At 46.1% G+C, this 25,521-nt stretch overlaps 2 protein-coding genes across 10 annotated transcripts in view, besides 8 other annotated features; both read left to right on the top strand.

The window, feature by feature from the left end:
- Window positions 1,820-2,630: an enhancer, noted in NCBI's record as "NANOG-H3K27ac-H3K4me1 hESC enhancer chr19:53201817-53202627 (GRCh37/hg19 assembly coordinates)". NCBI's record gives its function as "activates a minimal SCP1, AML or CMV promoter by ChIP-STARR-seq in naive H9 embryonic stem cells {active_cell/tissue: H9 hESC(naive)}" and the evidence as "EXISTENCE:reporter gene assay evidence [ECO:0000049][PMID:30033119]".
- Window positions 2,631-3,441: an enhancer, noted in NCBI's record as "NANOG-H3K27ac-H3K4me1 hESC enhancer chr19:53201006-53201816 (GRCh37/hg19 assembly coordinates)". NCBI's record gives its function as "activates a minimal SCP1, AML or CMV promoter by ChIP-STARR-seq in naive H9 embryonic stem cells {active_cell/tissue: H9 hESC(naive)}" and the evidence as "EXISTENCE:reporter gene assay evidence [ECO:0000049][PMID:30033119]".
- Window positions 4,253-5,064: an enhancer, noted in NCBI's record as "H3K27ac hESC enhancer chr19:53199383-53200194 (GRCh37/hg19 assembly coordinates)". NCBI's record gives its function as "activates a minimal SCP1, AML or CMV promoter by ChIP-STARR-seq in naive H9 embryonic stem cells {active_cell/tissue: H9 hESC(naive)}" and the evidence as "EXISTENCE:reporter gene assay evidence [ECO:0000049][PMID:30033119]".
- Window positions 7,299-7,834: an enhancer, noted in NCBI's record as "H3K27ac-H3K4me1 hESC enhancer chr19:53196613-53197148 (GRCh37/hg19 assembly coordinates)". NCBI's record gives its function as "activates a minimal SCP1, AML or CMV promoter by ChIP-STARR-seq in naive H9 embryonic stem cells {active_cell/tissue: H9 hESC(naive)}" and the evidence as "EXISTENCE:reporter gene assay evidence [ECO:0000049][PMID:30033119]".
- Window positions 10,526-10,735: a silencer, noted in NCBI's record as "silent region_10997". NCBI's record gives its function as "represses an Ori minimal core promoter by ATAC-STARR-seq in GM12878 lymphoblastoid cells {active_cell/tissue: GM12878}" and the evidence as "EXISTENCE:reporter gene assay evidence [ECO:0000049][PMID:35858748]".
- ZNF83 (zinc finger protein 83) overlaps window positions 10,698-25,521 on the top strand; it is a 78,120-nt gene continuing 63,296 nt past the window's right edge. For all 9 annotated transcript variants that reach the window (NM_001277948.2, NM_001277946.2, NM_001277949.2 and 6 more), the window contains exon 1: window positions 10,698-10,751. The gene's annotated coding sequence lies outside the window, so the exon portion shown is untranslated. The remainder of the gene's footprint in view (window positions 10,752-25,521) is intronic.
- The window catches only part of LOC122539214 (Zinc finger protein LOC122539214), a 40,050-nt gene continuing 25,226 nt past the window's right edge, over window positions 10,698-25,521 (top strand). Inside the window, exon 1 of the mRNA NM_001396016.1 lies at window positions 10,698-10,751. The gene's annotated coding sequence lies outside the window, so the exon portion shown is untranslated. The remainder of the gene's footprint in view (window positions 10,752-25,521) is intronic.
- Window positions 11,029-11,564: an enhancer, noted in NCBI's record as "H3K27ac hESC enhancer chr19:53192883-53193418 (GRCh37/hg19 assembly coordinates)". NCBI's record gives its function as "activates a minimal SCP1, AML or CMV promoter by ChIP-STARR-seq in primed H9 embryonic stem cells {active_cell/tissue: H9 hESC(primed)}" and the evidence as "EXISTENCE:reporter gene assay evidence [ECO:0000049][PMID:30033119]".
- Window positions 23,982-24,546: an enhancer, noted in NCBI's record as "NANOG-H3K27ac hESC enhancer chr19:53179901-53180465 (GRCh37/hg19 assembly coordinates)". NCBI's record gives its function as "activates a minimal SCP1, AML or CMV promoter by ChIP-STARR-seq in primed H9 embryonic stem cells {active_cell/tissue: H9 hESC(primed)}" and the evidence as "EXISTENCE:reporter gene assay evidence [ECO:0000049][PMID:30033119]".
- Window positions 24,547-25,111: an enhancer, noted in NCBI's record as "H3K27ac hESC enhancer chr19:53179336-53179900 (GRCh37/hg19 assembly coordinates)". NCBI's record gives its function as "activates a minimal SCP1, AML or CMV promoter by ChIP-STARR-seq in naive H9 embryonic stem cells {active_cell/tissue: H9 hESC(naive)}" and the evidence as "EXISTENCE:reporter gene assay evidence [ECO:0000049][PMID:30033119]".

Genomic DNA, 25,521 nt, shown 5'->3' with positions numbered 1-25,521 from the left:
CAGTTGTGATTAGAATTTTCAATGGGATGCAGTGCCCTAAAAATGAAAAACAAAAGCAGAAGAATGGAAGAAACAGAGGTAGACTCAGACACAGAGACCATCTTCGGGGCCTTTCTCTGTATGAGGACATCACAACAAAATCTAAAGCAGGTCATGTCAGTCCCTGACAGGGAACCCTCCACCAGCTTCCCGTGTTCCCCAGGACAAAAGCCCAACCCCTCACTGTGGCTCCACAGCCCTGTGTCCAGGGCCCCTTCCACTGTCCAGCCTCCTCCTGGGAGCTTGCCCTCATCTCATGACTCTCTCCGCCCCAGTCATATTTGCTTTTCTCTTTTCCCAAACATCAAAACCCTTCCTGTCTCAGGTCGTTGTCCCTGGTTTTACCCTACGTACCCTGTCACTTTCTCCTCCTTCAGGTCTAGGCTCAGAGCTGTCGCCCATGCCCTCCCACCCCCGGCTGTAGTTCCCTTGTCCATCAGTCTGTATCACGTTACTCAGGATTCATTGTCTGCATCAATCACATCAGAAATGCATTTTTTTTTTTTTTTTTTTTTTGAGACAGAGTCACTCTATCTTTCAGCCTATGAGTGCAGCCTCTTGATCTTGGCTCACTGCAACCTCTGTCTGCTGGGTTCAAGCAATTCTGGTGCCTCAGCCTCCCAAGTAGCTGGTGTGTCTGCCACCACACCCGGCTAATTTTTGTATTTTAACTTCCATTTTATATTATTTTTGAGTCTGTCTGTCACCAAGACTGGAGTGTAGTGGCGCCATCTCGGCTCACTGCGACCTCCACCTCCCGGGTTCAAGCAATTCTCCTACCTCAGTCTCCTGAATAGCAGAGATTACAGACACTTACCAAGCCCGGCTACTTTTTGTGTATTTAGTAGAGACAGCGTTTCACCATGTTGGCCAGGCTGGTCTCGATCTCCTGACCTCAAGTAATCAGCACACCTCGGCCTTCCAGAGTGCTAGGATTACCGGATGACCCACACGCCCGGCCCATTTTTGTATTTTTAGTAGATACAGGGTTTCACCATGTTGGCCAGGCTGCTCTCAAACTCCTCAGGTCAAGTGATCCTCCCACCTATGCCTCCTAAGTAGCTGGGACCACAGACACACAGACGTGCACCACCATACCTGGCGAAGTTTTGTATTTTTGGTAGAGATGGGGTTTCACCATGTTGCTCAGGCTGTTCTCAAACTCCTGAGTTCAAGCGATCTACCTGCCACAGCCTCCTAGAGTGCTGGGATGACAGGCATGAGCCACCGCACCCAGCCTCTGCGTGGGGTTTCGTCAGGGCTGGGTCTGTGCCCTGAAGGGGAGCTCATTCCAGCCCAGCTCCCCACTGCTGCAGCTTGTGTGTGGACTCCTCCAGAAGGGGAGCGGGAGTTTCCCTGTAGGAGTTTATCATCCATGGTGAGGAGGGCAGCAGGGGGCACTATTTCCTCAGGGTGAGGTCTTTAGTTAGGCCTCTGAGCCCAAGCTAAGCCATCATATCCCCTGTGACCTGCACGTATACATCCAGATAGCCTGAAGCAACTGTAAAAATATCCTTAACTGATGACATTCCAATATTGTGATTTGTTTCTGCCCTACCCTGACTGATCAATGTGCTTTGTAATCTCCCCCACCCTTCAGAAGGCTCTTTGTAATCCTCCCCACCCTTGAGAATGGACTTGGTGAGATCCACCCCCTGCCTGCAAAGCATTGCCCCTAACTCCACCGCCTGTCCCAAAACCTATGAGAACTAATGATAATCCCACCACACTTTGCTGACTCTCTTTCCAGACTCAGCCCGGCTGCACCCAGGTGAAATAAACAGCCTCGTTGCTCACACAAAGCGTGTTTGGTGGCCTCTTCCCACAGACGTGCGTGACACTTCGCATGTGTGGTTGTGTTCCAGGGAGGGGGTGTGTTGATTCTGAGCAACAAACAACATATTTTTAACATTCAGGATTGACTCCTAAAGACTCTTGGTACATGAGGAAGAAACCCGGAAGAGGAAGAGGAAAGCAAAGGAGTCAGGGATGGCTCTTCCTCAGGTGAGATGATATTCTCGGTGGATTGTTCTGTCTCCTTCCTTTCAGAAACCCTGGGCCTTGGAGTTGGGAATCTTCTCTGAGTCTGAAGCTTCCTGCCTGATACGTTTACTCACACTCACCCATGCCTTCCCTCAGTCCCTCTCATCTCGCTTAGATTCCATCTCTGGTGACCTAGTGACATGAAGTTGGAAAGAGGCTGCACTGGGCATGGGCCTGGGAAGGGCTCACACCCAGACATGGATGGAGACGGGGTGAGGGTCCCGTGGTGTCAGTGCTGTTGGGCAGAAGGGATTGTTCAGGGGCCACATATGGATGCACTGTCAGCTCTCTGTGGAGCAGGATTAGAGCAGCTGCCAATGGAAGTCACGTATTAATGTGCACAAAGTACGTGGTAAATTCTAGAAAAGGAAACCAATAAGTGAAAATCTTTTCTGCCTGCTTTCATGTGGGGAAAAGAAAGAGAGATCAGATTGTTACTGTGTCTGTGTAGAAAGAAGTAGACATAGGAGACTCCATTTTGTTCTGTACTAAGACAAATTCTTCTGCCTTGAGATGCTGTTAATCTATGACCTTACCCCCAACCCCATGCTCTCTGAAACATGTGCTGTGTCCACTCAGGGTTAAATGGATTAAGGGCGGTGCAAGATGTGCTTTGTTAAACAGACGCTTGAAGGCAGCATGCTCCTTAAGAGTCATCACCACTCCCTAATCTTAAGTACCCAGAGACACAAACACTGCGGAAGGCCGCAGGGACCTCTGCCTAGGAAAGCCAGGTATTGTCCAAGGTTTCTCCCCATGTGATAGTCTGAAATATGGCCTCATGGGAAGGGAAAGACCTGACCGTCTCCCAGCCCGACACCCGTAAAGGGTCTGTGCTGAGGAGGATTAGTATAAGAGGAAGGCACGCCTCTTGCAATTGAGACAAGAGGAAGGCATCCGTCTCCTGCCCGTCCCTGGGCAATGGAATGTCTCGGTATAAAACCCGATTGTATGTTCCATCTACTGAGATAGGGGAAAACCACCTTAGGGCTGGAGGTGGGACATGCGGGCAGCAATACTGCTCTGTAAGGCATTGAGATGTTTATGTGTATGCATATCTAAAGCACAGCACTTGATTTTTTACCTTGTCTATGATGCAGAGACCTTTGTTCACGTGTTTATCTGCTGACCTTCTCTCCACTATTATCCTATGACCCTGCCACATCCCCCTCTCTGAGAAACACCCCAAAATGATCAATAAATATGAAGGGAACTCAGAGGCTGGCGGGATCCTCCATATGCTGAACCCTGGTCCCCTGGGCCCCCTTATTTCTTTCTCTACACTTTGTCTCTGTGTCTTTTTCTTTTCCAAGTCTCTCATTCCACCTAACGAGAAACACCCACAGGTGTGGAGGGGCAACCCACCGCTTCACTTTCATACTACATTTTTAGGTAATTGAGTGAGTTATTGTGTTTCTGGCTCCAAAAATCGAACTAATTAGAGTGGAAAGTTCATACACAGACATGAATGATAGAAGGTGTTTTATTCCATCATTAGTTTAAGAATAGGAAATCAACCTAAATAATAGCAGGAGATTCATTAAACCATTCTTAACACATTAAGCTCATGGAGACTGTGGGGTTACTGTGGAGAGGCTTGTGAAACAGGTGTTTTTGGTAAAAATGGTTACAATTTATTTTTTGAGATGGAGTCAGCCTCTGCCACCCAAGCTGGAGTGCAGTGACATGATCTCAGTTTACTGCAACCTCTGTCTTCTGGGTTCAAGTGATTCTCCTGCCTCAGCCTCCCAAGTAGCTGGGGTTATAGGCGTGTGCCACCACGCCCGGCTAATTTTTTTGTATTTTTAGTAGAGATGGGGTTTCACCATGTTGGCCAGGGTGGCCTCAAAGTTCTGACCTCAGGTTATCCACCCACCTCAGCCTCCCAGAGTGCTGGGATTACAGGCACGAGCCACCGTGCTCAGCTCTACCAATGTTTATTAAATATATATTTTGATATTTAAACATCACAGGATGGATATATTTGTTTTCTAGTAAAACTCTTAGCAAAGCTGCAGACCCTTTGCCACAAAGCATCTCCTTTCCCTGTCACGTCCTCCACCCTCTTTCCAAACTCACTGGGGAGCCGCTACTGTCAGTTCTGTGCCAAGTGTCAGAGCAAGTCTTGTACACCTGTATTTCTGCATCATTATGAGACTTTAAAAATAATTCCGTAGTAAATTAAAAAAATAAAATGTTTTATAGTTATGTTTTTACTTTAGGATTGGGGCTACATGTGATGGTTTGTTACATAGGCAAACTCATGTCATTGGAGTTTGTTGTACACCGGTATCAAGCCCAGTACCCAGTAGCTTTTTTTCTTTTCTTTTTTTTTTGACACTGAGTTTTGCTCGTTTTTTGAGTCTGGAGTATGATGGCATGATCTCGGCTCACTGCAACCTCTGCCTCCTGGGTTCAAGCAACTCTCCTGCCTCAGCCTCCTGAGTAGCTGGGATTACAAGCACATGCCTCCATGCCTGGCTAATGTTTGTACTTTTAGTAGAGACAGGGTTTCACCATGTTGGCCAGGCTGATCTTGAACTCCTGACCTCAGGTGATCCAACCCCCTTGCCCTAGCAAAGTGCTGGGATTACAGGCGTGAGCCACTGTGCCCAGCCCCATTAGCTATTTTTTCTGCTCCTCTCTCCTCCCCATCTCCACCCTCACCTAGACCCCAGCGTCTATTGTTTTCTTTGTGTTTTAGTAAATATTTTACTTTGATATTTCATCCTGCTAGTTGTGAAAATTTACATGTTGTTATGTTAGTAAACATGGCTAGCTTGCTCTTTGACATCTGCATTGGAAATTGGCTGAATGACAGTATGTGGGTCCTTTGCAATTTTTCTCTGTATAAAGAGTGCCATAGTGGCTGCATCTGAGCATGCCTGCATTCCTACAGATATCTAAAGATTCCTCCATGTCAGGCAGTTGAAAGGGTGATTGCTTCCTCTAGGAGGGGACATTTCCTGTTTTCTTAGATCTGACAAGATTCCTCCCTGTCCCCAACTATCAAAGTATCCGTTTCCAGCAAGATGAGATTCCTCTTCAGTTAAACAAAACTTGCTACTTTTTATATTTTAAAAATCTTTATATATATATATACACACACACACACACATACATATACGTACACATTGGCACACATATATGTATATATTTTGAAAATTTGCTGGATGTGGTGACTCATGTCTGTAATCCTAGCACTTTGGGAAGCTGAGGTTGGTGGGTCACCTGAGCTCAGGAGTTCAAGACAAGCCTGGCCAACATGGTGAAACCCCATCTTTACTAAAAATACAGAAGTTAGCCGGGCATGGTGGTGGGCACCGGTAATCCCAGCTACTCTGTGGCTGAGGCAGGAGAACCACTTGAACCCAGAAGGCAGAGGTTGCAGTGAACCAAGATTGCATTACTGCACTGCAGCCTGGGCGACAGAACGAGACCCTGTCTAAAAAAAAAAAAAAAAAAAAAAAAAGGAAGAAAGAAAAGATCTGGGGAAAATGACAACTTTTTTTTATTAGCATGTAGTTTCTTGCGAGTCTCTGTTTTATTATTTTGTGGACCTATATCAACAAAATGGATTTTTGTACTTTGAGTTATTCTGTTTTCATATATTTGATTTTATTTTGAGAGAAGGTCTTGCTGTGTCGCTTAGGCTGGAGAGCAATGGCGTGATCTTAGCTCACTGCAACCTCCTTCAGGCTCAAGCCATTTCCCAACCTCAGCCTCCCAAGTAGCTGGGACCACAGGTGAGTTCCACCATGGCCGGTTAATTTTTTTTTTTTTTTTTTTTTGAGATGGAGTCTCACCCGGTAGCCAGGCTGGAGTGCTGTGGCGTGATCTCGGCTCACTGCAAACTCTGCCTCCTGGGTTCAAGTGATTCTCCTACCTCAGGCTCCCAAGTATGTGGGACTACACGTGAGTGCCACCACGCCCGGATAATTTTTTGGTATTTTCAGTAGAGATGGTATTTCACCTTGTTAGTCATGACAGTCTGGATTTCATAACCTCGTGATCCGTCCGCCTCAGCGTTTTAAAGTGCTGGGATTACAGGCGTGAGCCACCTCTTCTGGCCTTTTTTTTTTTTTTTTGAGACAAAGTCTCTGTTATCCAGGCTGGAGTTCAGTGGCATGATCTCAGATCACTGCAAACTCTGCCTCCCAGGCAATTCTCCTGTTTTAGCCTCCCAAAAAGTTGGGGATTATAGTCCAGTGCCACCACCCCCAACTAATTTTTTTTGTATTTTTAGTAGAGATGGGGTTTCACCATTTTGGCCCAGCTAGTCTTGAACTCCTGCCCTCAGGTTGTAGCAGGATGAGCCACAGACAAAACTTCTCAGACACCGAGTTGTAGAAGGAAGGGCTTTATTCAGCTGGGAGCATTGGCAAGCTACTGTCTTAAAATCCGAGCTCTCTGAGTGAACAATTTCTGTCCCTTTTAAGGGCTCACAACACTAAAGATTTCACATTAAAGGGTAGTGATTGATTTGAGCAAGCAGGGGGTATGTGACAGGGGGTGCATGCGCTGGTGGTCAGAGTGAAACAGAACAGAACAGGAGGTTTCACAATGTCCTTCCATACAATGTCTGGGATCTATAGATAACATCAGTTGCTAGGTCAGGGGTGGAATTTTAATTACTAGGTTTAGGCCAGGCAGGCCGAGGCCTGGTTTCAGGTCTGGTTTTAGGTCTGATGCCTGGCATCGGGATGCCTGCCTTTGGTTTCACTTCCTTGTTTTTTTCTTAAAACAGGTACTGAGTATAAAACAATATAAAACAATATGAGAGGGTCTCTCTCTCTTCCCTCATTTCCCCCCTTTGAGAGTCTCACTTTTTATTAGTGGGAATTCTCACTCTTATTTTTGCTGCTTATGTCTTTTTGTGCAACAGATTGATAGTGATTCATATAGTACACTTGTGCTGAAGCATTTTGGTGAACTAAAATAGCGATGAAGCTTTTTATCGTTTGAAGAAGTACAGGTAGCAAACAAGGCAGCAGTAAGCAGGTTTCTATTACTATAATAACTCCTATTATAAGAGTTTTAAATCCTCCTAGTGCTGGGAACTACTTTCTAAACATGGCATCAGGGTTGAATCCATGCTACACTTGTATGGGCACATGTGTCAGTTTTGTCTTTTTTTTTTTTTTTTTTTTTTGAGACGAAGTCTTGCTCTGTCGCCCAGGCTGGAGTACAGTGGGTTGATCTCGGCTCACTGCAAGCTCCGCCTCCCGGGTTCACGCCATTCTTCTGCCTCAGCCTCCGGAGTAGCTGGGACTACAGGCGCCCGCCACCACACCCTGCTAATTTGTTGTATTTTTAGTAGAGACGGGGATTCACCGTGTTAGCCAGGATGGTCTCGATCTCCTGACCTTGTGATCCACCCACCTCGGTCTCCCAAAGTGCTGGGATTACAGGCTTGAGCCACCATGCCCGGCCAGTTTTGTCATATTTTTAACTATGTCTTTAACTACTTGCCTTTGATTATCTATGTGTAGACAGTAAGTAGTAAGGATAAATTTCTTTTTTTTTTTTTTTTTGAGATGGAGTCTTGCTCTGTCGCCCAGGCTGGAGTGCAGTGGCATGATCTCAGCTCACCGCAAGCTCCACCTCCCAGGTTCATGCCATTCTTCTGCCTCAGCCTCCCGAGTAGCTGAGACTGCAGGTGCCCACCACCACGCCTGGCTAATTTTCTGTATTTTTTTTTTATAGTGGGATTACAAGCATAAGCCACCAGGCCTGGCCTATTTTATTATTATTATTATTATTATTTTTTGAGACAGTCCTGCTTTGTCGCCCAGGCTGGAGGGCAGTGGGGTGATCTCGGCTCACTGCAACCTCTGCCTCCCATGTTCAAGTGCTTCTCCTGTATCAGCCCCTAGAGTAGCTGGGACTACAGGAGCTCACCACCACACCCTGTTAATCTTTGTATTTTTAGTAGAGACAAGGTTTCACCACATTGGCCAGGTTGGTCTCCAAACTCCTGAGCTCAAGTGATCCACCCACCTTGTCCTCCCAAAGTCCTGGTGTGAGCCACCTCACCCATCCCCTCTTCACTAATTTTTAATTTACCTAATGAATTCTGATTTTGAACCCATGTATTGCGTTTTTTCATTTAGTTACTCTATTTTTAGCCCAAGAGTTTCTGTGTAGTTCTTCATAGTTTCTGTATGTTGGTTGACCTTTGAATTTTCTGCATGCATTGCTTTTATAGTTTCTTGAAGCTGTCTCTTATTTCAATGCATTTCCAACTTTTTGGTGGATGTGGGTAACGGGGTCTCACTATGTCCCCCAGGCTGGAGGGCAGTGGTGCGATCTTGAGTCACTTCAACCTCTGCTCTCCAGGGTCAAGCAATCCTCCCACCTCAGCCTGGTGAGTAACTGTGGATGTGTCCTCTCTAGGTTTTTGCTTCTCATCTCTGAACTGAAGTTGATTTAAGTGTGTGTGGATGTGGTCTGAAGTGTGCAGGAGAGATTAATGGAGAAGCCCAACATGGTGAAACCCAGTATCTACTAAAAACAGAAAACAATTAGCCAGGCGTGGTCGCACTGGCCTGTAATCGCAGCTACCTGGCTGACTGGGGCAGGAGAACTGCTTGAACCCGGGAGGTGGAGGTTGCAGTGAGCCGAGATAGTGCCAGTACACTCCAGCCTGGGTGACAGAGCTAGACGCTGTCTGAAAAAATGACAGCAACAACAAACAAACAACTAAAAAAAAAAAGGTTATTCTGTAAATAATTAGGAAGACTAAGCAGCCCCAGAGTTAAGACCTTTTGGCATCATTGTCCCTTCTTATGGAGTGATAAAGTAACCTTCCTTGAAGTGTATCAATCCATCACCAGTCAAGTTGCTGCACCCTAGGCACTGGTCTTGAATGGAAAATGTGATTCTGGTAAAGCTTCTCTGTCTTTTCCTATGTGTGTAAAATCTTAACGTCTCCACCTGAGAACGCTGATCCTATTCATTTGAAGTTGATGTTTCCAGGTGGCTATTTCCAAGCTTTGTGTTCAAACAAACTCTGCACTTAATCATATATTCTAAATTTTATTATTTACCTCTGACATCAGTGTCTGTCGTATTGTAGGAGTCTCACCAGAGAGGGCACCTGTCCCCATGTTGTGAAACTCACACTTGTCAAAAAGACATGGGTTAGGGTTTTTCCCCCTCCCTCGGGATGAAGCTAATTAGCTGACACAGATGGTCACCTCCATTACCAAGTAAAGCCAGGATGAAGTATGTGTGACCCAAGGGGTTGTCAAATCCCCTTCCCTGAGGACTGATTAGTGTTTATCTTGAAAACATGTGCTTAATGGGTTGTATAGAACAGTGACATTTCTTTCTCTCTTTTCAACCTCATAGCTGTTTGCCTCTATTTCCCATCACATTTGAGTCTAAGGTTCTTTATTAAAATGGTTTTTATTTATTTCTCTGTTGTCGTGGAGATAATTACCCATTTGGGGGAAGATTTTCTTTGTTTTCAATTATATTTTCTCAACGTTTAAACAGTAAAGAGCATTCCTTAGGCTATGCAAGGTAGCCCACGCCTGTAGTCCCAGCACTTTAGGAGGCCGAGGCAGGTAGATTACTTGAAGTTCGGAGTTTGAGACCAGCCTGGCCAACATGGTGAAAGCCCGCCTCTATCAAAAATACAAAAATTAGCCGGGCATGGTCGCTCGTGCCTCTAATACCAGTAATACTGTAATACTCCGGAGGCTGAGGCAGGAGAATCGCTTCAACCCAGGAGGCAGAGGTCGCAGTGAGCAGAGATCACGCCCCTTCACGCCAGCCTGGGCGACAGAGGGAGACTCCCTCAAAGAAAAAGAAAAGAAAAACGTGAAAAAAAAGTAATAGATTTCTTCCACAAATGTGCTGGAACAACTAACTGGATATCCACACGGAACAGAATAATGTTGGATCCCTATGTCACACCATCAAAAATTTTATTTAAAAAGGTTTAAAAAGCGAGAGAGAGAGAGAGAGAGAGAGACGGAGAGAGAGGGAGACAAGGAAGGTGGCCTTGCGGGAGGGGGTGTTACTTTGTCGCCCAGGCTGGCCTGGACCCCAGGGCTCAGCGATCTTCCTGCTCCTACTTCCTGAGTAGCTGGGACCTCAGGCTCCCGCCTTCGCGCCTGCACCCCTGCTGTGTTTAAGCAGCAGGTGGTGACCTCACTCCTCCCTGGCCTGAGCACTCCGTCCCGCACCCCAGGCAGTGGCTTTAGGGAAGTCTCTGAAGCTGAGCACAGGGCGGACCCTCCCTCCCTTGTGAATGGAGAATAGAAAGGGAGAGGAGTTCTGTTCTGTTCTGTGGGCCGTCAGCATGAAATCCTATGTTCCGCCCTGGCAGGGCTTTGCATTTCACATTCTAGTTTGCATCCCCGTTCCAGAAAATTCCAGGGCTTTTGAATCATGCCTCATACTTCCTGGCCGCTGTCGCCTCCCAAACCCGAAAAACAGAGGCGCTGGGAGCCAGGATGTGAGACACACAGGTCCCGCCCCGGCCCCGCCCTCTGCCGGTTCTAAACCGCAAAGTCTCTCTGCTTCGCGCCCCGCCGCCACCCGGCCCAGGCCCCGCCCACCACCTCGCGGGGCCCGCCGAGGCCTGGCTTCTGTCCTGCGCGCGCAGATTCTCGCAAATCTGGAAGCGGATCGCGTGGAGTGACGGTCACACCGCGGCGGTGAGTTTCGCTGTTTTGTATTAAGTCTGCATTTCCCAGGTCCTCAGCGTTTCTGTCCCTCGGACCTAGGGTCCCCACAGATCTGGAACTTCTCTCCCGTCTTCACCCAGAGCAAATAGAGACATCCCCGTGAGAGTCTGGAAGTCGCTTCCTTTTGGGTCTAAAGTCGCCCTGAGGTTGGTCCCATCCCCTGTCTTTCTGCTCTAGGGCAATGTATACACTTCCTATCGCGTAGTTGTTGTTGTTTTTTTTTTTTTTTTCTCAAAATCATTTTCAGACTCCTCCCGCCCCGCGCTTTTTAACGTCCTCACCCGCGAAGTGGATTCCCGCCGTGGGCACCTCCCAGCCTTGCCCTTGTCGGCCTCTGAAGCGCAGCGCCGCGGCCCCTGTCCCGGGGAGGCCGTGTCCTCTGCCTAGTCCTGGGATCCTGCAGACCCCACCCTTGTCCTCAGGCGCCGTCGCCCCCCACCTCCCTCCTCGTGCCGGGCCCTGCTGCTCCCCAGGTCTCTCCTCCGCAGTCACCGCTTCTCCTGAGCCCGCGTTGGGGAGGTGCCCGGGGCCTGTCCTGTGACACGGGGTGTTCTTGCCTGCCCAGTTCCAGCCCCTGGAAAATAAGCTCCTCCGGGATGCAGGCGTCTTACTCCAAACCCTCCTGTGATTGTGTGGGCCAAAGGGATCAGGAGACGGACAGAGAGCAGTGGAAAACCTGAGACAGAGAAAAGAAGAATGAGAAAGAGCCATAAGAGATGGCAAAGTAGAGGATGGGTGAGGGATTTGCCAAGAGACAGCAAAAGTGAAAAGAAAACGATAAGAAAGCAGGAGGAGAAAAGCAAGTGCAGAAATGTAGAGAAAAGCTGGATGTACAGAGACATGAAGGACAGCAAGGTAGGGAGAGGGGCAGCAAAGAGGGAGGCTCATCAGGGTGAGGGAGAGGAGGAGGGATTTGGAGCCAGGGCAGACAGAGCAGAGTGGTGCTGGTGGCAAGGAGAACAGAGGGAGAAGCACAGCAGGGAGGACACCTGGGGATCTGGAGTGCTAGAGAGTGGGGATGAGGGTATAACAGGGAAGAGAGAATGTAACAGGGAGAGCAGAGGAGGCGCTGAGATGGGAGAAGAGGCGGAAATATTTGTGTTAGGGGAAACTGAAGAATGGAGAGACCAATATGAGAGAAACAGAATTGTTTATTTTAGGTACGCACTGGCTCAGTGGATTCATATCCAAAAAGCTGAGCACTGAACAAAGACAGAGCAGGGTTTTTATAAGTGGCCTTACAAAAGCAAAACAAAAGCAGTTAATTATACAGTGACAGGTTGTGTAATCTATAGCATAACATATCTTGTGACCTTGGGTTGCCGGTGGCCTTGTAGCTGCATCAAAGGAAAAACAAGAACTGACTAAATACAGACATTTGTAAAACATAATAATGCTTAAGAAGCCTGGAAAAAGAGTAACAGTAAAATAATCTCTCTCTTTTTTTTTTTTTTTTTTTTTTCCTTCAACCTTGCTCTGGAAGGTGGGGGTGTCTGGAGCCCATTCATTTAGACTTGGCTATTCGGACAGCGTTATCCTGTAACCGTTCTTGATGTGAGCTTGACAGGCAGAGGAAAACTTGTTCTTTTCTTTTTATTTTTAAACCTTGCCTTGCCACATTGTGGGCCTTAGCTTTTACTTTTCTTGGAGTGAATAAATGCAGTACTTATTATTTTTAAATTTCTGTCCATATAGAGATAGAGGATGATCAAAAGATTGGGGAGAAGAGCAGCAAGATGTTAGATAAGTTACAAGGATGGAGCAGAAGAGGTGGAAGAGAAGGAATAGAGTGAAGAAGGGGATAAACAGCAGGAGAGGAGAGAGGTACAAAATGAGGAGCAGAACCCCGGGGGAAAATAAAACAAGAGCTAGAGAGAGAAGGGGAGAATGAGAGATACGTACAGAATCAGGGAAGGAAGCAAAGTAATGAAGAAAGAGAGGCTGGGTACAGTGGTTCATGCCTGTAATCCCAGAACTTTAGAAGACTGAGGCAGGGGGATTGCTTGAGTCCAGGAGTTCTAGACCAGCCTGCACAACATAGTGAGATCCTTATCTCTGCCAAAAAAAAAAAAAAATTAATCGGGTATGATGGTGCGCACCTGTAATCCCAGCTACTCTGGAGGCCAAGGGAGGAGGATCACTTGAGCTCGGGAGGTCCAGGCTGCAGTGAGCCAAGATCATGCCACTGCACTGCAGCCTGGTCAACAGAGTGAGACCCTGTTACCAAAGAAAAGAAGGGGCAGGGGGACTTTGGGATCAGATGAGTAGGTGAGTTTATTGGCTATGATTAGTTGTGACATGTTGACTTCTGTGTATATAATCTAATAATTTAAAACTTGATTAAATTATAAAGATGAGATTGAGAATTTTAAAATTCCTGTCTATGAGACATGTACATTCTGTAAATCTTGGCATCAGAGGTTAGCTTCCAGTTGGAATCCCTATTCAGCCAGAGAGCAGTGACTTATTGAGTTGGAAGTTACTCTCTTCCCTTTTCCCAGGGTGGGGTAGGACGTGGGGCAGTGAAGTGCAACAAAAATCACTTTCTGTTATTACACAATACTTTTAATTTAATTAATTAATATTTTGAGACAGGGTCTGGCTGTATCACTCGGGCTGGAGTGCAGTGGCGTGATCTCCTCTAACTGCAGCCTTGGCCCCCTGGGGTCAAGTGATCCTCCTACCTCAGCCTCCTGAGTAGTTGGGACCTCAGACATGAGCCACCAAGCCCGGCTAGTTATATATATATATACATTATATATATATATATATATATATACATTATATATATATATACACATTATATATATATACATTATATATATATATATATAAAATTTATATATATATAAAATTTACACATATAATTTATATATATAATTTATATATAAAATTTATATATAATTTATATATCTATATAAATTATAATTTATATAGATATATAAATTATAATTTATATTATAATTTATATAGCTATATAAATTATAATTTATATTATAATTTATATAGCTATATAAATTATATATATATAAATTATAATTTATATTATAATTTATATAGCTATATAAATTATATATCTATATATATAATTGTAAAACGGGGTTTTAAATTCCCAAGCTGGTCTCAAAATCCTGGGCTCAAAGGATCCTCCTGCTTTGACCTCCCAAAGTACTGGGATTACAGGGTTGAGGCACTGCGCCTGGCCTACATAGTACTTTTTTTTTTTTTTTTGAGATGGAGTTTTACTCTTGTTGCTCAGGCTGGAGGGCAATGTTGCAATCTCAGCTTAGTGCAACCTCTGCTTTCTGGGTTCAAGCAATTCTCCTGCCTTAGCCTCCTGAGTAGTTGGGATTACAGGCATGCGCCACCACTCTGGGCCAATTTTGTATTTTTAGTAGAGACAGGGTTTCTCCATGTTAGAGAGGCTGGTCTCAAACTCCTGACCTCAGGTGATCTGCTCACCTCGATCTCCCAAAGTGCTGGGATTACAGATGTGAGCCACTGCACCCAGCCCATAGTACTTTCTAAAATGGACATCAAAGCCAGGTGTGGTATCTCATGCCTGTAATCCCAGCACTTTGGGAGACCGAGGTGAGAGAATCACGTAAGGTCAGGAGTTCAAGAGCAGCCTGGCCAACATGGTGAAACGCCGTCTCTATGAAAAATACAAAACTTAGCCAGGCATGGTGGCGTGCACCTGTAGTTCCAGCTGCCCAGGAAGATGAGGTACACAATCACTTGAACCTGGGAGGTAGAGGTTGCAGTGAGCTGAAATCATGTTGCTGCACTGCAGCCTGGGTGGCATAGCGAGTCTCCATCTCAGAAAAACAAACAAACAAAAAATAAAAAATAAAAGGGGTATCAAAAGTGCTTTTGTTCTTGTTGTGTAATAGATTTCTTTTTTTTTTTCTTTCTGGTTTCTCATTTATTTATATATATATATATATATATATGTAATTTTTTTGCAGTTGGAGTTTGAGAAAAATCTTAGTTTTAAGAGTATCTTTTTTAATACTTAATCACTTCTGAAAGATGGCTTTGTGGCATCCTATAACCAGCTCACATCATTCCTTTCTGTACATGTATATGTTCCAGTTAAGTTCCCGTTGACCTCAGAGTTTGTTAGATTTTTTTTTAAAACAATTTAAAAATAGTTTCGGTTTGAAATTAGTTGCATCCAGTTCAGATCGAGGTCTGCATGCTTTCTAGTTTTTATTATTTATTGGAAAACTTTGGTACCTCATACAGAAGTTTGATTGTTTCAGTGTGTACCTGGTAAAGATGTCAGTGACCTTTTACCTTAACATCAAAATGCAGTTTAACCAGTTAGTCTATTTTTCAGTTTTCTTTCCTTATGTCATTTGTTAAAATCTTGAGCTGGGAGCTATTAAGTTCATGTTTCCCTCAAGGCCCTCTGGTGCGTTTGGACAAATGTTGAAAGATGGGTTGGATTGGCATGGAATGCTGTTCCAGAAGCACTCCTGTATTTTTTTTTTTTTTTTTTTTTTTTTTTTTGTGACAGTTACACTCTTGTTCCCCAGGCTGGAAGTGCAATGGTGCCATCTCAGCTTGCAGAAACATTTGCCTCCAGGATTTAAGTGATTCTCCTGCTTCAGCCTCCTGAGTAGCTGGGATTACAGTTGCCTGCCACCATGCCTGGCTCATTTTTTGTATTTTTAGTAGAGACAAGGTTTCACCATGTTTGCCAGGCTGGTCTCGAGCTCCTGACCTCAGGTGATCTGCCCACCTCGACCTCCCAATGTGCTGGGATTACAGGCAAGAGCTACCGTGCCTGACCACCCATATATTCTTGATTGAAACAGTTCGCTTACGTCTTAGTTCTACAGCTGACTTTCTTTCCCTGTTTTCAAGGTCAATTACTGTGTGTTCACACTTCTGCATTTTATGAATGTGACTGTGATTTTTTTTTAAGGAAGAATTAAATGTCAGGAATCAGTGGCATCAGAACTTTGTAAAGGAAGTTTCTTTAGCCCAGGTATTTGAAAGATGCTTCTGTAATTTTCAAGGATAGGGGTGATAAAGACCAACCCTTCCCGTTAGCCCTTCCAGGCCCCCATGTAAGAATTCAGACACACCTTCTCACTCATCTCAGATCTTCTCAGGGTAACTCGGTGAAAATGTCCCCGCTCTGAGCCCAGTGAGCGTCCCTGCAACTTGGAGATGAGGGGCTAGACCAGAAAAGCTCACCCTGAGTGACCCTGGCCCCTGAAATGATTGGCAAAATAGAGTGGGTGTCTGGGTGTGGCTTTTCTTCTGGGAGAGGGGAGTGCCCAGTTGTAACTAGAATTTTAAATGGGATGCAGTACCCCAAAAATGAAGAAAAGCAGAAGAATGGAAGAAACAGAGCGGTAGACTCAGACACAGAGACCATCTTCGGGGCCTTTCTCTGTATGAGGACATCACAGCCAAATCTAAAGCAGGTCATGTCAGTGCCTGGCAGGGAACCCTCCACCGGCTTCCCGTGTTCCCCAGGACAAAAGCCCAACTCCTCACTGTGGCTCCACAGCCCTGTGTCCAGGGCCCCTGCCAGTGTCCAGCCTCCTGGGAGCTTGCCCTCATCTCATGACTCCCTCTGCCCCAGTCACATTTTTTTTTTCCCAAACACCAAAACCTTTTCTGTCTCAGGTCATTGTCCCTGCTCTTACCCTATGTCCCTAAATGATCACTGCATTGTCCCTTTCTCCTCCTTCAGTTCTAGGCTCAGAGCTGTCTCCCATGCCCTCCCACCCACATCTGAAGTTCCCTCTGCCCACCAGTCTCTATCACGTTACTCAGGTTTTATTATCTCTGCATCAATCATATCAGAAGCACTTTTTCTTTCTTTCCTTTTTTTTTCTTTTTTTAGACAGAGTCTCACTCTATTGTCCAAACTATGAGTGCACTCTTGTGATCTTGGCTCACTGCAATCTCTGTCTCCTAGCTTCAAGTGATTCTTGTGCCTCAGCCTCCCAAGTAGCTGGGATTATAGGGGTGTGCCACCACACCTGGTTAATTTTTGTATTTTTATTTTTATTTTATTATATTTTATTTTTGAGTCTCACTCTGTCACCCAGGCTGGAGTGTAGTGGTGTGATCTCGGCTCACTACAACCTCCACCACCAGAGTTCAAGCAATTCTCCTGCCTCAGCCTCCCGAGTAGCTGGGATTACAGATGCCCACCAAGCCAGGCTACTTTTTATGTTTTTAGTAGAGATGCAGTTTCACGATGTTGGCCAGGCTGGTCTCAAACTCCTGACCTCAAGTGATCCACCAGCCTCGGCCTCCCAGAGTGCTAGGATTACAGGCATGAGCCCTGCACCCAGCTCAATTTTTGTATTTTTAGTAGAGACAGGGTTTCACCATGTTGGCATGGCTAATCTCAAACTCGTGACCTCAGGTGATCCACCTGCCTTGGTCTCCCGGTGTACTGGAATTGCAGACGGGAGTCACTGTGCCCGCCCAGAAACACCCTTCTGCATGGATTACTTTGTGTGTTGTGTCTCCCTTACTTGAAGGATGCACAATTACCATCTTGGCCACAGGACAACAGCAGCACCTACTCTGGGGTTGCAGTTTAGATGCTGAGGTGTCCTCGGAAGACTGAGGGGCTGGGGCAAATGTGAGGATGTTCCCACATTTCTTCTGGAAATTTCAACTCTAATTGATCTAAACTTCCTGTGGCAATTTGTTTTAGTCAAAATAAGAGGAGAAGGCCTCTCTAAGGTCAGAAAAGCCCTACAGACCAGACCCTGCATCTTCAGCCAGTCCTGAGGCATCTCCATTTTTGTCATCTGTGTGAACTGCCTCACTCCAGCTCCCAGGTCTTCCATGCTCTGCACATCACCAGGACCCAGTTTGGCCATTATGGGCAGGGACTTTGCCCTTCCCTTTGGATTCCCTTCAGGAAGGGTGGGGAGAAGGTCAGGGACCTGAGGGGCATGAAGGACACACTCCTACACAACTAGTTCTGTTCCGGAGGAGCTGGAGGCTCCGTGACTTCAGGAAAGATTCTTCCAAGAATCAGAGTGCAAACAGCACAGTGAACTGCAGCCCGAGGGCCACCTCCTCCTGCCAGGCCAGTGGCGATGATGCTCTACTGGCTTTTCCTTGCCTGTCACAACACGTGAGCATACACACACACACACACACACACACACACACACACACACACACACACACACACAGAGTCACAGGGCAGCTGAGGAGCTGAGGATCAAGTCAAGATGCCATAATGTAAATGTGGGGCTGGCTGTGGTGGCTCACCCCTGTAATGCCAGCACTTTGGGAGGCCAAGGCGGGTGGATCACTTGAAGTCAGGAGTTTGAGAGCAGCTGGCCAACATGGTGAAACCTCATCTCTACTAAAAATACAAAAATTAGCTGGGTGTGGTGGCACATGCCTATAATCTCAGCTACTCAAAAGGCTGAGACAGGAGAATCACTTGAACCCGGAAGGTGGAGGTTGCAGTAATCCGAGATGGTGCCACTGTACTCCAGCCTGGGCAACAGAGAGAGACTCCATCTAGAAAAAAAAAGAGAGACAGAGAGAGAAGGTGTCGCTCTGTGGCCCAGGTCTGGAGTACAATGGCAAAATTCTAGTTTACAGCAGCCTTGAACTCCTGGGCTCAAGTGATCCCCATTTTAGCCTCCCAAAGAGCTAGAAGGATAGGCATGTGTCACCACACATAGCTACATCTTTTCTTTTTCTTTTTCTTTTTCTTTTTCTTTTTCTTTTTCTTGTTTTTTGAGATGGAGTCTCGCTTTGTTGCCTAGGCTGGAGAGCAGTGGTGCAATCTCAGCTCAGTGCAACCTCTGACTCCTGGGTTCAAGCAATTCTGCCTCAGCCTCCTGAGTAGCTGGGACTACAGGTATGCACTGCCATGCCTGGGTAATTTTTGTGTTTTTAGTAGAGATGGAGTTTCACCATGTTGGCCAGGCTGGTCTTGAACTCCTGACCTTGTGATCTGCCCACCTCAGCCTCCCAAAGTGTTGGGATTTCAGGCATGAGCCACCACTTCCAGAATTATTTTTTATATTGTATTTTTATTCTGTCCAGGGTGAAGTGCAGTGGTGCAATCATAGCTCACTATAGCCTTGATCTACTGACCTCTAGGGATCCTCCCATCTTGGGAGAATACATGGATGGATAAGTCCATGGTTACGTAGAAAACACATCATTTGCAATAAGTTTTTTTTTTATAATTTTAATAATTTTAAGTATTTTTCATTGTTGTCAACTATCACAATAATGAGTTAATAGTAAAAACAGGCCAGGCACGGTGGCTCATGCCCGTAATCCCAGCACTTTGGGAGGCTGAAGAGGGTGAATCATGAGGTCGGGAATTCAATACCAGCCTGGCCAAGATGGTGAAACCTCGTCTCTACTAAAAATACAAAAATTAGCTGGGTGTGGTGGCAGGTGCCTGTAATCCCAGCTACTTGGGAGGCTGAGGCAGGAGAATTGCTTAGACCTGGGCAAACGAGGTTGCAGTGAGCTGAGATTGTGCCACTGCACTTCAGGCTGGTTGACAGAGTGAGACTCTGTCTTAAAAGGAAAAATAGTAAGAAGGATTGTACAGTATTATATTCATGCCCTGTGTGTCCATTCAATGACCTTGTAGGATGCTCCATGTTCTTACCCTTGAACCTATTTCATGTTCTCTCCATTAGATAAACCTGTGTCAGTTTAGTTTTGAAGCTGTATCTTTTACTTAGGTGGTTATATTCAAATCTGAATCCCAGACATCTGGATTCAGTGCTTGTGTTGACATTTTTAGCTATTTGATTTGTGGTAATTTTCCTAGTATGTGTGATGCACTTGTCTCCAAGTACAGATCTTTCTTCATGGGACAGTATGTTATTTTATGGCTTAAGACATGGGAAGCACTTAGAACAGTGTATAGCACATGGGAAGCATTCAAAAATGTTATTCATGGCTATTGCTGTCATCACAACAGTTTTCAGTTTTGGACTTTACTCTCTTTTCTTTTCTATCAAATTCATTGGACTTTGTCCTCTCTAGACACCACTTGTATTTCAGCTCATCTAGGTAATGAATATCACCTGTTATGTTGAACATACTATCTGTAGAGAAAACTCTATGTTCGTTTGCTTTTTTTTTTTTTTTTTTTTTGAGAAAGTCTCACTCTGTCACCCAGGCTGGAGTGCAGTGGTGTGATCTCAACTCACTGCAGCCTCCGTCTCCTGGGCTCGAGATTCTCCTACCTCAGCTTCCTGTGTAGCTGGGATTACAGGTGCCTGCCACCATGCCTGGCTACTTTTTATATTTTTAGTAGAGAAGAGGTTTTACCATGTTGGCCAGGCTGGTTTCCAACTCTTGACCTCAAATGATCTGCCCGGCTTGGCCTCCCAAAGTGTTTTGATTACAGGCATGAGCCACCACACCAAGCCCTGTGTTTCCTTTTTATTTGTATATTTTTTACATTGTCCATAAAACCGAGACATCCACAGTGACTTAAGGGATCTTAAAATATTTTGTGGAGGCCGGGCGCGGTGGCTCACGCCTGTAATCCCAGCACTTTGGGAGGCCGAGGCGGGCGGATCACGAGGTCAGGAGATCGAGACCATCCTGGCTAACACGGTGAAACCCCGTCTCTACTAAAAATACAAAAAATTAGCCGGGCGTAGTGGCGGGCGCCTGTAGTCCCAGTTACTCGGGAGGCTGAGGCAGGAGAATGGCGTGAACCCGGGAGGCGGAGCTTGCAGTGAGCCGAGATCGCGCCACTGCACTCCAGCCTGGGCGACAGAGCGAGACTCCGTCTCAAAAAAAAAAAAAAAAAAAAAAAATATTTTGTGGAAAAGTACAATAAAACACAACTGTGGAGAAAAAATGTGCCAAAATACCTTAACGTGGGTTTGTCAGAACACAGTCTTTGATCAAATTAGTACTTATTTTCTCTTTTCTCATTTTGTGGGAAGGTGATAACTGACTCCTCCATGATGTTTTGTGGAAATGTGTGTTTCATTTTAGGGACATTTTACTTTCAGGGATGTGGCTATAGAATTCTCTTTGGAGGAGTGGAAATGCCTGAACCCTGCGCAGAGGGCTTTATACAGGGAAGTGATGTGGGAGAGCTACAGGTACCTAGAGTCTGTGGGTGATGAAAATGTCCCTGCAAACATGAGAAATCTGCTCTTGTCTATCTTGGCTCTGCCTGGTTATGTGTTCTGTTTTGTGATTTTGCCCCATGCCTGCTTTCTTGTTTGTTTGTTTTTGAGACAGTTTCCCTCTTGTTGTCCAGGGTGGAGTGCAGTGGTGTGATCTCTTCTTACCACAACCTCTGTCTCCAAGGTTCAAGCAATTCTCCTCCTTCAGCCTCTCAAGTAGCTGGGATTACCAGCATGTGCCACTACGCCTGGCTAATTTTGTATTTTTAGTAGCGACAGGACTTCTCCATGTTGGTCAGTCTGGTCTCGAACCCCAACCTCAGGTGATCCACCCGCCTCAGCCTCTCAAAGTGCTGGGCTTACAGGTGTGAGCCACTGTGCCCAGCCCCCATACATGCTTTTGATGTACGTGTCATTGTTTTCTGCAGTGATGACCCTCCTATCAGTCATGGATAGCTTGTTAGGCACTCCCCTATGGAGTGAGTTTGCATAAAAACAGAAAATTCATGAAGAACACTTTGACTGTTATGATTGAACATCATCCTGCTCTAGGCAGAGGCGCCCTGGAAACCCTGAGCAGAATTGTCAGCGTGGACCAGGTTATGAGATAGAAAGCATCACACTGACTGATAAGTGTTTCCAGCTGTCATGCTTTCTTTTATTTATTTATTTTTTGAGATACAGTCTCCCTCTGTCACCCATGCTGGAGTGCAGTGGTGCAATCTGTGCTCATTGCAACCTCCACCTTCTGGGTTCAAGCAATTCTCCTGCCTGAGCCTCCCTTGTAGCAGGGCTTATAAGCATGCTCCACCATACCTGGCCAGTTTTTGTATTTTTAGTAGAGTCGGAGTTTCATCTTGGTGCCCAAGCTTGTCTTGAACTCCTGACCACAGGTGACCCACCCACCTTGGCTTCCCAAAGTGCTGGGATTACAGGCATGAGCCACCATGCCTGAGCCATTCTGGTTTTTGAGGAGCATCATAGAAGCTTCTCTCAGTGGCACTGTGGCAATGTTCATCCCATAAACTAATGATCGTCTTCTCTAAGCAGCAGTCAGTGGTGTTAAAATTCCTCCTACTGAGGATGTCATTTGGGCTCACAGCCTCCTATGAGGCTCTTGACTGAACTGTTGTTCATTTCACATTTTTCACACCAATATGTGTCACTGTTCATTTTTAACAAGAAAACCTTTGTTCAATTTGTTGTAGAATCAACCCTGTAACAGATATGGTTTTCATCAATCTTATTAAGGGAGCTTGTGAGGTTGAATGAAATCCCTATATTTTAGTGTTCATTTCTTTTTTTTTTTTTTGAGATGGAGTCTTGCTCTGTCACCCAGGGTGGAGGCAGTTGTGTGATCTCAGCTCACTGCAACCTTGGCCTCCTGGGTTCAAGTGATTCTCCTGCCTCAGCCTCCTGAGTAGCTGGGATTACAGGCATGTACCACCACACTTGGCTTAATTTTTGTATTTTTAGTAGAGACAGGTTTTCACTATGTTGGCCAGGCTGGTCTTGAACTCTTTACCTCAGGTGATACACCCACCTTGGTCTCCCAAAGTACTGGGATTACAGGCATGAGCCATGCCTGGCCTACAAAGATATTTTTGATGAAACATTTTTGTTGAGTTGGTGTCTCCATGAGGATATGAGGGCCTGGCATTTGCTAGTCTGTCACCTTCACTTTTCATGTCTCATTTATTCCAGAGATTGTGTTTAAAAGTCCAGGGATATGACTTCAAATAATATAGGAACCAGGAAAAGAGACACCCTTGTTTTTACATAAGAAACAAGATTTACCCTCCAGTTTTTTTTTCTTTTTTCTTTTTTTTTTTTTTTGAGATGAAGTCTCGCTCTGTCACCCAGGCTGGAGTGCAATGGTGCAATCTCAGCTCACTGCAACCTCTGTCCCCCAGGTTCAAGTGATTCTCCTGCCTCAGCCTCCCAAGTAACTGGGATTATAGGCGCCTGCCACCATGCCTGGCTAATTTTTATATTTTTAGTAAGACGGGGTTTCACCATCTTGGCCAGTCTGGTCTTGAACTACTGATCTTGTGATCTACCTGCCTCGACCTCCCAAAGTGCTAGGATTACAGGCTTGAGCCACCGAGCCTGGCCTTATCCTCTAATTTTCATATGCAACCATTTTAGTTAGCGCATTATTGTTTTTCTTCACTAATTTGACCAATCACACATGTAGGCAACAATCTCCATCTGGGTCTGTTTTGTTTTGTTTTTTGTTTTGTTTTGTTTTTTGAGACAGTCTCACTCTGTCACCCAGGTTGTAGTGCAGTGGTGCAATCTTGGCTCACTGCAACCTCCGACTCCCAGGTTCAAGCAATTCTCCTGCCTCAGCCTCCCGAGCAGCTGGGATGATGGGCACGTGCCACCATGCCCAGCTAATGTTTTGTATTTTTTTAGTAGAGATGGGGTTTCAGCATGCTAGTCAGGCTGGTCTTGAACTCCTGACCTCATGATCCACCCACCTCCACTTCCCAAAGTGTTGGGACTACAGGCATGAGCCATCCCCTCTGGCCTGGCTCTTTTTTCACAAACCGATCTCTACCTACTCAGCTAGGGATCATTCTTCACGCCTGTGGTCTCCCCCATTGCTGTACTCTTCATAGAGTTTACTCATTTTTTCATGTGTATACACAATTCTGCAATCTACAAGGGGGATTTTGTTGAGTATTCATTTGACACTGGAAATCAGAGGCCATTTAATTTAAGAGACGTAAAACTGCTTTTACCTCAGACCGCCATACTGCTGATTTTTTGGATCTCTTTTTCTTTTTTTCTTTTTGAGACAGAGTCTCACTCTGTCACCCATGCTGGTGTGAAGTGGCCACATCTCAGCTCACTGCAACCTCCACTGCCAGGGTTCAAGCAATTCTCCTGCCTCAGCCTCCTGAGTAGCTGGGATTACAGGCATGCACCACCACACCCGGCTAATTTTTGTTTTTTTTTTTTTTTTTTTTTTTTACTTCTCAATTTGTCTGTCTTTAATATTCAAAAGCAAAATGCCCCTCACCAACTTCCAGCCCAGTCTCACTCATGCTTTGTGGTGTGAACTGCAGGCTGATTTTGATTGTTTTGTTTTTGTTTTTGTTTTTTTGATTGTATCTTCTTCCTTTATTTTTTTTTCTTTTTTTCTTTTTTTTTTTAATTGATCATTCTTGGGTGTTTCTCACAGAGGGGGATTTGGCAGGGTCATAGGACAACAGTGGAGGGAAGGTCAGCAGATAAACAAGTGAACAAAGGTCTCTGGTTTTCCTAGGCAGAGGACCCTGCGGCCTTCCGCAGTGTTTGTGTCCCTGATTACTTGAGATTAGGGAGTGGTGATGACTCTTAAGGAGCATGCTGCCTTCAAGCATCTGTTTAACAAAGCACATCTTGCACCACCCTTAATCCATTTAACCCTGAGTGGACACAGCACATGTTTCAGAGAGCACCGGGTTGGGGGTAAGGTCACAGATCAACAGGATCCCAAGGCAGAGGAATTTTTCTTAGTGCAGAACAAAATGAAAAGTCTCCCATGTCTACTTCTTTCTACACAGACACGGCAACCATCCGATTTCTCAATCTTTTCCCCACCTTTCCCCGCTTTCTATTCCACAAAGCCGCCATTGTCATCCTGGCCCGTTCTCAATGAGCTGTTGGGCACACCTCCCAGACGGGGTGGTGGCCAGGCAGAGGGGCTCCTCACTTCCCAGTAGGGGCGGCCGGGCAGAGGCGCCCCCCACCTCCCTCCCAGACGGGGCGGCTGGCCGGGCGGGGGCTGCCCCCCACCTCCCTCCCGGACGGGGAGGCTAGCCGGGCCGGGGCAGGCTCCTCACATCCCAGACATGGGCGGCCAGGCAGAGACGCTCCTCACTTCCCAGACGGGGTGGCGGCCGGGCAGAGGCTGCAATCTCGGCACTTTGGGAGGCCAAGGCAGGCGGCTGGGAGGTGGAGGTTGTAGTGAGCCGAGATCAGGCCACTGCACTCCAGCCTGGGCACCATTGAGCACTGAGTGAACGAGACTCCGTCTGCAATCCCGGCACCTCGGGAGGCCGAGGCTGGCAGATCACTCACGGTTAGGAGCTGGAGACCAGCCCAACCAACACAGCGAAACCCCGTCTCCACCAAAAAAATACGAAAACCAGTCAGGCGTGGCGGCGCGCGCCTGCAATTGCAGGCACTCAGCAGGCTGAGGCAGGAGAATCAGGCAGGGAGGTTGCAGTGAGCGGGAGAGGGAGAGGGAGAGCGAGAGCTGTATTGTTAGTAGAGACAGGGTTTCACCATGTTGGTCAGGCTGTCCTGAACTCCTGACCTCATGATCTGCCTGCATCGGCCTCCCAAAGTGGTGGGATTACAAGCATGAGCCACTGCACCTGGCCTGAATGTCGTTCATTCTTGTCCTTTGCCCATATTGTAATTTGTATAGTTAACCTCTGGTCAATATTTTACCATTTGCTAAATTAGTTCCACTTTCGTCCAAGCTCAAGATTTGGTCTATCCTAGTGGAATTATATTCCCACAGACATGCATGCACAAAATTCACTCCTACATGCCCATTACTTCTGCCCTCCACCCTTGCCCTTCCTTTCCTGGCCTTGCATCACATGGTACATTGA

Source organism: Homo sapiens, chromosome 19, assembly GCF_000001405.40.
Source record: "Homo sapiens chromosome 19, GRCh38.p14 Primary Assembly".
In the NCBI taxonomy this organism is placed as follows: Eukaryota; Metazoa; Chordata; class Mammalia; order Primates; family Hominidae; genus Homo; species Homo sapiens.
Note: the sequence above shows the minus strand (reverse complement) of the source record. Positions and strands in the feature narration are given on the sequence as shown.